Raw genomic sequence first — 12,957 nt, forward strand, 5'->3', positions numbered from 1 at the left:
TTTATATGTTTATTGAGAGGGAAGGAAAGTTAGTTAATCAGAAAAGAAGGGGGAGGTGGGGATGGTAAATGAGTTAAAAAAAAAAAAAAGTTAAATAATGAATAGGACTGGCCAGGCGTGGTGGCTCATGCCTGTAATCCCAGCACTTTGGGAGGCCGAGGCAGGCGGATCACAAGGTCAGGAGTTCGAGACCAGTGTGTCCAATATGGTGAAACCCCATCTCTATTAAAAATACAAAAATTAGCCTGGCATGGTAGCGGGAGCCTGTAGTCCCAGCTACTCGGGAGGCTGAGGCAGGAGAATCACTTGAACCCAGGAAGCAGAGGTTACAATGAGCCGAGATCGCACGACTGCACTCCAGCCTGAGCAACAGAGCAAGACACACACACACACAAAAAAAAACACAAAACACAAAAAACGAATAGGACCTACTATTTGATAGCACAACGGGGTGATCATGGTCAATAGTAACTTAATTGTATGTTTTAAAATAACTTAAAGAGTGTAATTGGATTGTTTGTAACTCAAAGGATAAATGGTTAAGGGAATGGATACCCCATTTACCCTGATGTGCTTATTTCACATTACATGCCTGTATCAAAACATCTCGTGTACCCCATAAATATATACACCTACTATATATCCACGGGAATTAAAAATTGAAAAAAAGAAGTGGAAATAGATTGAAAGCTCTCCCTGTAGAGTAGAAGTTGGATAGATTTTGCAGAAATAACCTTAATCCCTTATTCCTCTCAGTGAAGGAGCCTATGAAATAAAGGAGAATTAAACATGTAGTTCTTATAATTTTCATTCCTTCATTCACTTATCTATATCCTATGTCCCATGTACTATATTATACACTAGACAGTAAGGATAGAAAGATGGATAAGAAACAATCCCTGTCTAAAGATGTCCACAGTATACTAGGGTAGACAAAGATGTGTAATCAGTTTGATTGAGAATCTCACCTCAAGAGGCATAAGCTTGAAAGTCTCATCATTTCTACACTTGGTATTTTGTCAGATTTCATTGCTTCAAAGTATCAGCCTCCTTAGTTATTAAAACTTTCATTCTAGGTATTAAGATTAGGTCCTACTGATTTAAAATATTAGTCTCATATTTATTTCAAAAACTTCCTCCATGCCTTCCAGAGCAGACTAGACCCGTAGTTCCAACTTTCTTTATACACACCCCTTTTTTTCCATGTGCCTGCTCTTCCGATGGTGGGGTCAGGAGGTTTAAGAAGGAAAACAGGCAATGCCTTAAATGTCTGACTGCCGCCATGTTGCTATCTGCTTTCTGTAGGTCATTGTTAGAATATATGGGGTTCCTAACAGCCCCACTGATAACTCAGTATCAAGCAGTCCTCTATGCTTTGATAGCCCTTTGCAAGACTTCTGCATCTGTCAGCTGACTTCCATTTGGCAGTGGTGAAACACATTCTTCTGATACATAGAAATCCCTTGTCCCATGTTATGTTCCATGGCAAGTGTGTGGGCCTCAATCTCCTGTGCTCTCTGTGATCCCAGCTCTGGGGCCTGTAGATTCCGACAGGATCCATAGTCCAGATATCACCGGATTTCTCTGTAGTCCCTACCAACTCTCCCCAGTCCTCCAAAATTCCTGGAAATTCATAGCGTAAGGGGAGTCAGCAAGCTTTGTGGCAAAGGAAACATCCAGATGGGGACTGGAGATATCAGCCTCCTCTTGAAGACACCCCAAAACTTTACTAGTATCATGTAATAGGTACTAATGTCCTGAACAGAACATGAAAGACACTAACCATTAATGAAACAAATGGACAATTTGGATAAATTCATAATTTATTTACTTATTTTTCTTTCTTTTTGAGACAGGGTCTTATTCTGTCTCCCAGCTGGGCTGGAGTGCAGTGGGGTGATCACTGCAGCCTCAACTTTCAGGGCTCAGGTGATTTTCCCTCCAAGACTCCTAGGCTCAAGTGATTTTCCCTCCCAGTCTCCTGAGTAGCTGGGTCTACAGGTGTGCACCATACCCCGCTAATTTTTGTATTTTATTTATTTATTTATTTTTTGAGACAGAGTCTTGCTCTGTTGCCCAGGCTAGAATGCAGTGGCGCGATCTCGGCTCACTGCAAGCTCCGCCTCCCGGGTTCACGCCATTCTCTTGCCTCAGCCTCCAGAGTAGCTGGGTCTACAGGCGCCCGCCACGATGCCCGGCTAATTTTTTTAATTGTTGGTAGAGACGGGGTTTCACCGTGTTAGCCGGGATGGTCTCAATCTCTTGACCTCGTGATCCGCCTGCCTGCGCCTCCCAAAGTGCTGGGATTACAGGCGTGAGCCACTGCGCCCGGCCTAATCTTTGTATTTTTTTAGAGACAAAGTTTCACCATGCCGCCCAGGCTGGTCTCTAACTGTATTTTAAAAATACAGGCGGCCGGGCGCAGTGGCTCACGCTTGTAATCCCGGAACTTTAGGAGGCTGAGGCGGGCCGATCATGAGGTCAGCAGATCGAGACCATCTGGCTAACACGGTGAAACCCTGTCTCTACTAAAAATACAAAAAAAATTAGCCAGGCGTGGTGGCGGGCGCCTGTAGTCCCAGCCACTTGGGAGGCTGAGGCAGGAGAATGGCGTGAACGTGGGAGGCAGAGCTTGCAGTGAACCGAGATCGCGCCACTGTACTCCAGCCTGGCCGACAGAGCGAGACTCCGTCTTAAAATAAAAAATAAAAAAATAAGAAATACAGGCAGGGCGCGTGGGCTCATGCTTGTAATCCCAGCACTTTGGGAGGCTGAGGCGGACAGGCTGCTTGAGCTCAAGAGTTCCAGACTAGCATCGGCAAAGCAGGGAGACCCCATCTTTACAAAAAAAGTAGCCTGGCATGGTGTTGTGAGCCCATAGTCCCAGCTAAGTAGGGCAGAGGTAGGAGAATCACTTGAGCCCAGGAGTTCCAGGCTGCAGTGAGCCGTGGTCGTGCCACTGGACTCCAGCCTGGGTGAAAGAGCAAGACCCTGTCTCAAAAAGAGAAAGGAAAAAATTTAACATCAAGAACTTCCTTTCATCAAGACACCACTGAGAGAATACGACAACCCACAGAGTAGGAAAAGAGATTTGTAATACACATCTGTAACAATGGACTTCCTCCTAGAATAGAGAGGATAAAAAGTAGCAACACTTCCGCTTGCACCCGGACGGAACTTCCTGTCACGGAAAAGAACATCCTGTCACGGAGAAGAACATCCTGCAGAATTTCCTGTCACGAGGAACATTCCGCAGGAGGAAATGGAGGCTGAAAGGCTGCGACTCCTCGAGGAAGAGGCCAAGCTGAAAAAGGTAGCCAGAATGGGATTTAATGCATCTTCCATGCTCCGAAAAAGCCAGCTAGGTTTCCTCAACGTCACCAGTTACTCCCGTTTAGCCAACGAGCTGCGTGTGAGCTGCATGGAGCGGAAAAAGGTCCAAATTCGGAGCTTGGATCCCTCCTCTTTGGCGAGCGACCGATTTAACTTCATTCTGGCGAGTACCAACAGCGACCAGCTCTTCGTAGTGAACCAGGTCGAAGTCGAAGGCTCCAAGTACGGCATCATCAGCCTGCGAACTCTGAAGATCCCTTCGTTCCACGTGTACGTGCTCAGAAACCTCTACGTCCCCAACCGGAAGGTGAAGTCCCTGTGCTGGGCCTCGCTGAACCAGTTGGACTCTCACGTTCTGCTGTGCTTCGAGGGAATCACAGATGCTCCAAGCTGTGCAGTGCTGCTCCCAGCGTCGCGGTTCTTAAGTGTTCACACAAGAGTTAACCAGCCTGGCATGCTCTGCAGTTTCCAGATCCCAGAGGCCTGGTCCTGTGCGTGGTCCCTCAACACCCGGGCATATCACTGCTTTAGTGCAGGCTTGTCTCAGCAGGTCCTGTTGACCAGCGTGGCGACGGGACACCAGCAGTCATTTGATACCAGCAGTGATGTCTTGGCCCAGCAGTTTGCTAGTACGGCTCCTTTGCTGTTTAATGGCTGTCGCTCCGGGGAGATCTTTGCCATTGATCTGCGTTGTAGAAATCGAGGCAAGGGGTGGAGGGCCACTCGCCTGTTCCATGACTCAGCAGTGACCTCTGTGCAAATCCTCCAAGAAGAGCAATGCCTGATGGCATCAGACATGACTGGAAAGATCAAGCTGTGGGATCTGAGGGCCACTAAATGTGTAAGGCAGTACGAAGGTCACGTGAATGAGTCCGCCTATCTGCCCCTGCATGTGCACGAGGAAGAGGGAATCGTGGTGGCAGTGGGCCAGGACTGCTACACGAGAATCTGGAGCCTCCATGATGCCCACCTGCTCAGAACCATCCCTTCCCCGTACTCTGCCTCCGAGGACGACATTCCCAGCGTGGCCTTCGCTTCTCGGCTCGGGGGCATCCGGGGAGCAGCACCAGGGCTGCTCATGGCTGTCCGGCAGGACCTTTATTGTTTCCCCTTCAGCTAATTCTGCAGGTGGCAGCGCGGCCGAATGTGGATTTGACTTAAGGAAGTTAAGAGTATCTTATTACCGTTTCTGTGAGAGCATTTTAAGAGACGTGTTGTATATAGATCGCATCCATCCGGCTGCCAGGGGTAAGGTGTTAAGAGTTTTATGTGGAGACGTTCTTGTAAAGTTATTTCAGTTAAACTGTGGACTTAACTTGAAAGTCCTTTTCATAAAAGGTACCTGTTTCCTCTTGTTGAATGCCTTAGAACAGTTAACCACCTCCCCAACCCTTTTTTTTTTTAAATAATTAAGACTTTTCTAAGGACTGAAGATTGGCAAAAACTAAAATAAATTAAAGCAGCTTCTTTCACTAGTAGCCCTTTAGAGAAGCATAATGATGGTACTGGTAAGACTGTTTGACTAATCATACAGGGTCCCAGGCATCTGCGCTTGAGGAAGCCAGTGGGAGTGGAGACAAGGGAGAGGTAATTTCTCAGAGTCTCTACAGAAATATTTAAGGCTGGAGTTTGGAATCATTAAATTTGGCCTTCTCAAACTCAATAGCAGATCTCTTAAGGTTCTCCTTTTATTGTTATCATCCATAGGCATTGGAAGGAAAGATGGATCTTTTTAAATACTAGAAGTTTTAAACAGTCCTTGATGTGCTTTTGTTGAGGTACCTTTCAGAATGTAAGGTACAGCAGCTCCGGTTTCTATTATGGTGACTTGAAGTTCAGATTCAAGGAATTGGCTTTGACTTTTTGTAATCTAGGAGCAGCAGTTTGTGAGAGATTTATTAAAAATGTTAAAGAGCCTGTTTTTCTACTAAGCAAGGAAGAAAAAAAACGTGTAATAAGGTTAGTTGCTACTTCTTAATAGCCAAAGCCTGGAAATGATCTGAATTTCGAAAATGCTAAAATTCGTGATATAATCATACAATCGGATACTGCATAATAATAGAAAATAAGGCACACTTGCTATGTGAAACAGTATGGACCAATCTCAACATGTTGACTGAAATTAGGTAGAAATGAGTACAAACTGTATGATTCAATTCTAAAGTTCAAAAGCAGTAAAAACTTGTCTATGGTGATTAAAGGTAGAGTAGTACGTACCTCTGTAGAAAGAAAGGATTTTTTTTTCTTTTTCTTTTTAGGATGTTTGAGAAGTGACATGGGGAAGCTTTAGGAATGCTGAGTTTTCTTTATCTTGACACTTGATACATACGTAATTCATATATCTATATGCTTCACGTTTTTATAGTTTACTGTATATATGTTATTCCTCAAAAAATAAAAATAAGCAATTAGGACACTATTGTAGTTAGGCAAGGGACAATGATGCCTTGGACCTGCATGTGTGAGAAGTAGAAATGATCAGAAATGATTGCATTGGAAGATCATTCGAAGGTAGTATTATTGATAAGGCTTGCTGATGAGAGTAAACTAGAAAGTGAAAGAAAAAAGGATGGCAGCTTTTTTTTTTTTTTTTTTGAGACGGAGTCTCCTTCTGTCGCCCAGGCTGGAGTGCAGTGGCGCGATCTCGGCTCACTGCAAGCTCTGAGGATGGCAGCTTTTTTGTTAACTTTAGAACTGGTAGATGATGGTGTCGTTTACTAACCTGGGGAGGATGAGGAGAAAAAACTTTAGGTGAAGGGAATGATGCTGAGTTTTAGACATCTACTAAACCTCCAATTGGAGATACAAAGTATTCTGCAGATCAGGGGTCATGTCATGGCTGGTAATACAAATTTGGTGACTTCAATACATAGAATTAAAATAGATGGGATAGATGTGCTTTATATGACATAGATGAGGTTAATGTAATTACATATTGATAGAAGATGAGTAGATCAATAGAGAAGATATGGGAGTATGGTTAGGCACAGATTTTTGGAATCCTTTCAGTCAGTTTTTTATACTAACTTGATATGTGACATGAGAAATTGTGTAAGCTTTACTTGCTGTTGTTTCTTCAGTGTAAAATGTCTTAGATAATAAAACTAAATGATAAAGTAGATACAGGGTTAAAGGATATGTATCTTGTCCCTTTTACATTGTAAGCATTCAAAATAAAACAAAACAATTAATGAAGAAAAGACATTGCAATCATTCAGTAAGAACTAGCTGCAGACATATATATGTATATATATATATGTCTGATACTGATATGTCATTTATTTGGCAATTGACAAAAAATGACTACATAACTTGATAAACTGTTTATCCTCATTTGCAAAGAAAACAAATGCAAAAAAAAAATCAGTAAGAAAAACACACCTAAAAGAAAGGGAGGCAATAGTCTTGAATAGGAGAAAAAGAGGAGATCCAAATGGCTAATATACATTTGAAAAGGCATCCAACTTCTTTTATTGTCAAGGAAATGCAAATTAAAACCACAATGCCACACCACTTTCACTATAATGGTTAAAATAAAATAGATCAGGTGGAGTGACGTTGGGAATTAAAAGAGAAGCAAATGTTGGTGCAGTTGTGAGCAAATAGAACTTTCATATACTGTTGAGTGTATACTGGTACAAGCACTTGGAAAAGTTAGTAATTGCTAAAGCTAGAAGTTTGCATACTCTATGACCCAGTCATTTCAGTCCTAGGAATATATTAATCAGAAATGCATACCTGTGTCCACCATAATTTGTTAATAGCTCCAACTGGAAACTACCCAAATGTTCATTAATAGTAGAGTGGATAAATTGTGGGATATTAACACAATGGAATCCTTTTTGCAGTGAGAATGAGCATAGCACTATGGACAAATCCTGCAAACATAATGTTGAAATAAAGATGCCAAACACAAAAGAGCACATATTGTACAACTAATGCACATAAAGTCCCTAAACAGGCAAAATGAATCTATGTTCTTAGAAGCAGGATTAATGGTATACTTGTAGGGCAGAAGAGTAGTGACCAGAAGAAGATTCTAGGAAGCTAGCAATGCTGGTGTCATGCCAGACCCCTAGTGACTCCAATAGTAATGGCACTGTGTCCGAGAGTCCAAAGAAGATGCGTAGACAGCGAACAAGACTTGGGTTTATTGGGGGAACTTATATATAGGGATGGTCCAGTGGTAGTAGGCTGGACAGAAGAACCACTACTGTTTGTAAAAAGCATGCAGTTTATATAGCATTTTCATTTAGCACACTCCACCTAGCAACCTCCATTTAACCCAAAGCAAAGGACCTTGATCCCCTATATTGCCTGTGTTGTAAGGGATGGGCTGGGGGTTCAGACGTCCTTCATAGATAAGGAGTGAAACTCAGGGTTAGTCGCTCCTGTTTCCTTAGTTTGGGATTCTGAGCACACATTCGTTTTAGATCACAGGGTCGTTCTCAGGATATGGTTGTTACTGCTGTCAGGTGCATCCTCTCTATAGCGGGGTACTGGCTACACAGTTTTTGTTCACTAGTGATAATTGTTAGAGCTATGCCCTTAATATATGTCTTGTGTGTATTATACTTCAATAAAAAGTTAAATTTTAAAAAACCTAGTAAGACTTTCTCTTGCTGCCCCCACCTGTGGCTTTGGGGAAGGAATTGACTCTTCACAAATGCTGCCCTCTCTAAAAATATTACACCTCCATGCTCTGTCTCAGCTTAATTCTTCTCAAGGATAAAGGTTATCAAACAGTCAGTCTCTTGCCTCCAGGAGTATTTAATAACTCAATTATTCCAGCTGTAATATGAATCTTGTTCACTACCCTCTAAGGAAAAGTGTGTGTATGTGTAATTTTTTCTCCACCATACCAGGTAAATTGCAGAGAAGGAGCTTTTATTGGAGAAGCTAAGAAGTGTTGAATAAGAGAGCTATGATCCAGGAATACAGTTATCATTGGAGAAATCATTCTCCTTTTCTTGGATGGAAGTGGCAAAGAGTGAACGTAAGTTTAATGGTAGTGGACTACTAAATGGCTATTTGACAAGATAATTGTGACAAAAAAAATCCCACAAGTAATTTCATAGGATAATGTCAGAGGGAAAACCTGTAAGAACAAGCCACTCCTTCCTTCTCTCCTCCTCTGCAATGCTCACTCAACCATGTAAACTGATTTGGAGTTAGAGGACCTGAGTCTGATTCCATCTTCTGTGACATTCTTGCTAAGTGAACTGTAGAAAAAACCTTTCACCTCTCTGAAAAATGGAGACGAGGATTAGCAACCTGGTCAGACCTGGTCAGAAACCACATCAAGTGCATGTTTCATTTCTTTTGCATGTTTGCCTTTACAGGCCAAATGTGTCTGTGCAGACCCTTATTGCTTCTGACCATTGTTGTACAGGAGAGGGGGTGTGACCAGGTAATTCTTTTTACCCATGTATAAGCCAGTTTTGTTTTCTGTTTGTTTTTTTTTGGTACAGATGGGATCTTATCGTGTTGCCCAGGCTGGTCTTGAACTTCTGGCCTCTTGCCTTAACCTCCCAAAGTGCTGGCATTACAGGCATGAGCCACTAGCACCTGGCTATAAGCCATTTTCTTTCTTGCTTCTTTTTTTTTCAAGACAGAGTCTCACTTTGTTGCCCAGGTTGTAGTGCAGTGGTATAATCTCGTTTCGCTGCAACCCCCACTTTCTGGGTTCAAGTGATTCTTATTCCTCAGCCTCCCGAGTAGCTGGGATTACAGGTGTGCACCACCACTCTCAGTTAATTTTTGTATTTTTAGTAGAGAAAAAGTTTTGCCATGTTGGCCAGGCTGGGCCATTTTCTTATTGAAGTGTTCAGGTGGGCAAGCTCCCTCCTCCCCCACTCCTAGAGGCAAAGAAAAAAAAAATCGCCAAAACGTGATGACAACAAGTATGTCTGTGTTCAAAATTAAATTTGTGTTTTTGGTAAGCCTCATGATAGAGCCACTTACTTTATTTTGTAATGGATTATCTAAGTCAGTTTTCCAGATAACCAGTCAAGTTTGTCTCAAGATCAGAGTTATTTTCCCAAAGCTATAGACAGGATGAAACCAAGCAATAGTAGTTAGCTCAATTGCACAAGCAAATTTCTGAAAGATGTTGGAACTTCTTCAGAGTTAATGGAAAACCTTGCAGGAATTATGGTGTATGGTAATAATCAAATGACACTTCACTCCTTTCCTACTTCTGTTTCTATCTATCTGACTTAATAGTTCCCTATATTTAGGCATCTATTTATATCATGTATCCTCATGAAACTTGGACAATTTTATACCATGTTGATCACATGAGTAAAAAATATCTGGGGAAATTCTCTCTTAACCTACATTCCAGGAAAAAAAAAATAGGAACACCATATTATCATTCAAGTCTTTTGAGAAGACATCACATTTTCTTCCAAAGGCAAGTACCCATTGACTTAGAAAGAGTGGTGTTTAAGATCAAGATCTTTGTGCCTTGGTTTCTTCGTCTACCTATAACTTATTTAAGGTATTATGAATGAGACAGTGTACACAGAGGGCCTGGCAATTAGTAAATGATTAATATTACTACTGCTGCTATTAGTTTTAAATTATCAATATATTTATTTATAAATTTGCTGCCTCTTCCAATAGAAAATAAGCCCTATGATACTAGAATCTTACCTGTTATGTATAGGTAGGCAACGCTGAATGTGTCTCAAATGGAGCATAAAAACAAAGTCTCTTGGTAAGGATGGGATTTAGGGTCAAAGGAAATTCCCCTAAGGAACTCTAAAACTGACATTATCTTAAGTTTTAGCACTTGGGGAAGTTTCAAAGACTTTCCAAAAGGATAAGTATATCATGATATGTAGGTATAAATACCAAGACAACTGCAGAGTTATTTTAATCCAAGTCTGTTGAGGCTTTATTATGTGATACAGCATTGTGAGAGTTAAGGTAACAGAAAATGATACACTTTGTTCTTCAAACTTATTTGGCAAATCAAGGGTACTGGAGGTTTATAACAATTAGTAGTGTCTAAGTCAAGTTACACCCCAACTATACCAGGAAAAAGAAGGACAGGAAAGCACACACTGTGAAATTTTACTGTGCACCAACATATTTTACACATCAGGTGGGCTGTTATGGAAATTAAGAACTCTGCACAAAATGTATTTTTTTTAAAAGTTTTATCAAGAAAGGAACATTTTCTTCTAAAAATGATTAGTACAGCTAAACAAAATAAAAATAATAATCCTATCGCACAAATTAAAAATAAAACCTGAGAAGTTTTGATCAGGCTTGCCTAAAACGAGTTGAAACCAAAGCCATTTTAAGAATCCAAAATATGAGATTAGTTTTGTTCAAAAAGAATTATCCATAAAAGTTAATAGATGTTTGCATAGTTACCATAAAATAAGAGGTAAGCCTTTATGTATTTTTACTTCATAAAGTTGAATTTCTATTAAAATCTATTACAAGAAAGGGAAAGTAACTTTCCAGTAATATTCAGATTTTTTAGTAATATTGAGCCTACATTTATGGGACATCATTTTTTAATGTTTGTCCACTGAATATTTTAAGTTATGTTTGTCATAGGAAATTAAATTTGCTTACCATTCTTAACGATAATCTCTTTCCTCATTTGGTTATACTTATCTCAATTAGTATAAGAGACTTGTTGATTTTTTTAAAAATTAAGGACATACTAAATTTCCCCGAGATAGTTATTTTGCAGTAATATAGATAAGCGACTCAGATTAACTTTAAAACAAACCACCATACATTCCATTCAATTTATTTTTGCCAGGCATTGTTTTAGCGGCTTTATACAGCCATGTACAAAATAGACAAGATTCCAGCATCATGATGCTTATTTTCTATTCTAGGACACAAAATAGAAAAAAAAATCTCAAATAGTGATAAGCGTTTTGAAGAAAAGTATATAGGACAGCCGGGTAGAGAATGACCAGGACTACCATAGCTAGGGTGGTCAAGGAAGGCCTCTCTTGAGTTTGAGTTAAGAGCTGAATGAGCATGGCAGAGAGAAACAGTTAACGTGGATACTGTTCAGGTTTCTTTCTCCCTGGGACCAAAATGTTTCGAAGTCTGCATACCTCCGTTTACCCTAACTTGTCATGAACATAAAACCTCTTATATTGCAGGCAAAAATCTGAGGTTCACAGATTAGTAGGGCAAGTAGCTGATTCCGAAGTGTGTACTTGCCTTTATGATACTGGATACACACTGGTGTTAACAAGGAGAACGATGTACGTGGCAGACGTTCGGAGAGTACTGGACATGTTGGTTCTAATTTGGGTTTATCCTGGCAGGCTCTAGGTAGAGAGGCTCAGAAAACCTGCGTCCATCCTTCCCATCTTTCCTCCCATTTCCGAAACCACGGCCCCGGTTTCGAGTCCAGAAAAAAAGGAATAAGTAGAACTCCCAAAGGACAGCTTTCCTGGCTGAACAAGATGTAAACAGTTTACGTGATTTCCAACCAAGCGCAAAAGTACAGGTGCAAAAGAAGACGGCAGACACCAAACTTCCCCTGCAGCCACGCCCTCCCCACTTTGGGAGTCTGGGTCCCCGGGAAGGAAGGCCTCCCTATTGGTGCTCAACGTGTTACGTCACTTCCGCTACCTCCACGGCAGGCGTCGCTAAATGACGTTGCCGTTTCCGGGTCACCCAGGCAGCTTGTGGCGGCGAAGCCATCGGTGTTCGCTGATGTCCAGTCTATGGAGTCAGTTGGTACCGGTGGCGGCGCGGAGGCAGAAGGCGGTGTCCGAGTAGGGGCCTCTGCCCCACCAGGATGTTACCCGGCTTGGCCGCCGCCGCGGCCCACAGATGTAGCTGGTCCTCCCTGTGCCGGCTCCGTCTGCGATGCAGGGCGGCGGCCTGTAATCCCAGCGACCGCCAGGGTGAGTGTCCCGCGCTGGCCGCTGGCTCCGTAGAAGCCGAACTGGAGGGCCAGGCTGGGCTCGGCGCCTCGCCTGGGGCAATTCGCCCACTTGCCTTTCGCCAACCTCAGAACCTTCCTTTCTGGCCTCCGCCTTTCCAGTTCAGCCTGCGCAGCCCGCGGGGGTCCTGACAGGTCTCTGACTCTGATGCCTTCTGCAGCCCTAGCATGGCCCCCGCGGGAACTTGTGGGCACCTCGCGGGCCGGATTGCACCTCTGAAGCCTACCGCTTTGTACCAAACAAAATGTTACGTGCGCATCGCGGTGTCCCGCGGTTACTCACCTCCGCGGTTGGAAATTGCGGACTCCGCAAAGTTCCAGGGTCTTTGGAGCTTTCCAGCGCACCTTCATTTAGCACTTGGTTGAGATTTTCTTGGCCTTCTTTTTCTTACTCTCCCAACTTATTTTCTTAAATTTTCTAAAAGGAAGGAGGGGTGCTACTCACTACGGATCTTTTGGAAGAAGTACGAAAGTATCCGACAATCATTGAATGAACCCAGTTTGGGTCCGAAAAACAAAGAAACTCTTCAGTTCGGCTGAGCAGTCTTTTTGGTGAAAAGGTGGCAGTTGTAGTGGTAACCCAGAAAAAAAGGTGGTTGAAGAGAATTTTCGTCTCTCTCAACATTCTTTTCTGACTCAAATTTAAATGGTTTGAGAGTTTCCAAAATAACATTGAACTAATCAGGCTT

The 12,957-nt window shown here is 42.3% G+C and overlaps 2 protein-coding genes across 3 annotated transcripts in view, besides 7 other annotated features; both read left to right on the top strand.

The window, feature by feature from the left end:
* Positions 2,957-4,156: an enhancer, noted in NCBI's record as "BRD4-independent group 4 enhancer chr4:41983504-41984703 (GRCh37/hg19 assembly coordinates)". NCBI's record gives its function as "activates an origin of replication core promoter dependent on BRD2, P300/CBP, MED14 and CDK7 cofactors, and independent of BRD4, by STARR-seq in HCT116 cells {active_cell/tissue: HCT116}" and the evidence as "EXISTENCE:reporter gene assay evidence [ECO:0000049][PMID:35650434]".
* Positions 2,957-4,488: a biological region, named in NCBI's record as "BRD4-independent group 4 enhancer GRCh37_chr4:41983504-41984703".
* Positions 3,226-7,935, top strand: DCAF4L1 (DDB1 and CUL4 associated factor 4 like 1). The gene has a single exon (NM_001029955.4). The coding sequence runs from the start codon at positions 3,263-3,265 to the stop codon at positions 4,451-4,453; it is 1,191 nt and encodes a 396-aa protein (NP_001025126.2). The 5' UTR covers positions 3,226-3,262; the 3' UTR covers positions 4,454-7,935.
* Positions 3,716-4,488: an enhancer, noted in NCBI's record as "H3K27ac-H3K4me1 hESC enhancer chr4:41984263-41985035 (GRCh37/hg19 assembly coordinates)". NCBI's record gives its function as "activates a minimal SCP1, AML or CMV promoter by ChIP-STARR-seq in naive H9 embryonic stem cells {active_cell/tissue: H9 hESC(naive)}" and the evidence as "EXISTENCE:reporter gene assay evidence [ECO:0000049][PMID:30033119]".
* Positions 11,672-11,751: an enhancer, noted in NCBI's record as "active region_21511". NCBI's record gives its function as "activates an Ori minimal core promoter by ATAC-STARR-seq in GM12878 lymphoblastoid cells {active_cell/tissue: GM12878}" and the evidence as "EXISTENCE:reporter gene assay evidence [ECO:0000049][PMID:35858748]".
* Positions 11,881-12,100: a silencer, noted in NCBI's record as "fragment chr4:41992428-41992647 (GRCh37/hg19 assembly coordinates)". NCBI's record gives its function as "represses an EF-1alpha promoter that drives an FKBP-Casp9 reporter gene in an ReSE screen in K562 erythroleukemia cells {active_cell/tissue: K562}" and the evidence as "EXISTENCE:reporter gene assay evidence [ECO:0000049][PMID:32094911]".
* Positions 11,881-12,171: a biological region, named in NCBI's record as "ReSE screen-validated silencer GRCh37_chr4:41992428-41992647".
* The window catches only part of SLC30A9 (solute carrier family 30 member 9), a 99,932-nt gene continuing 98,974 nt past the window's right edge, over positions 12,000-12,957 (top strand). For both annotated transcript variants that reach the window (NM_006345.4, XM_047449525.1), the window contains exon 1: positions 12,000-12,230. In NM_006345.4, coding sequence (NP_006336.3) covers positions 12,122-12,230 — 109 coding nt within the window. In that variant the 5' untranslated portion in view covers positions 12,000-12,121. The remainder of the gene's footprint in view (positions 12,231-12,957) is intronic.
* Positions 12,032-12,171: an enhancer, noted in NCBI's record as "active region_21512". NCBI's record gives its function as "activates an Ori minimal core promoter by ATAC-STARR-seq in GM12878 lymphoblastoid cells {active_cell/tissue: GM12878}" and the evidence as "EXISTENCE:reporter gene assay evidence [ECO:0000049][PMID:35858748]".

The sequence above is a fragment of the Homo sapiens genome, chromosome 4 (assembly GCF_000001405.40).
Source record: "Homo sapiens chromosome 4, GRCh38.p14 Primary Assembly".
Taxonomy (NCBI): domain Eukaryota; kingdom Metazoa; phylum Chordata; class Mammalia; order Primates; family Hominidae; genus Homo; species Homo sapiens.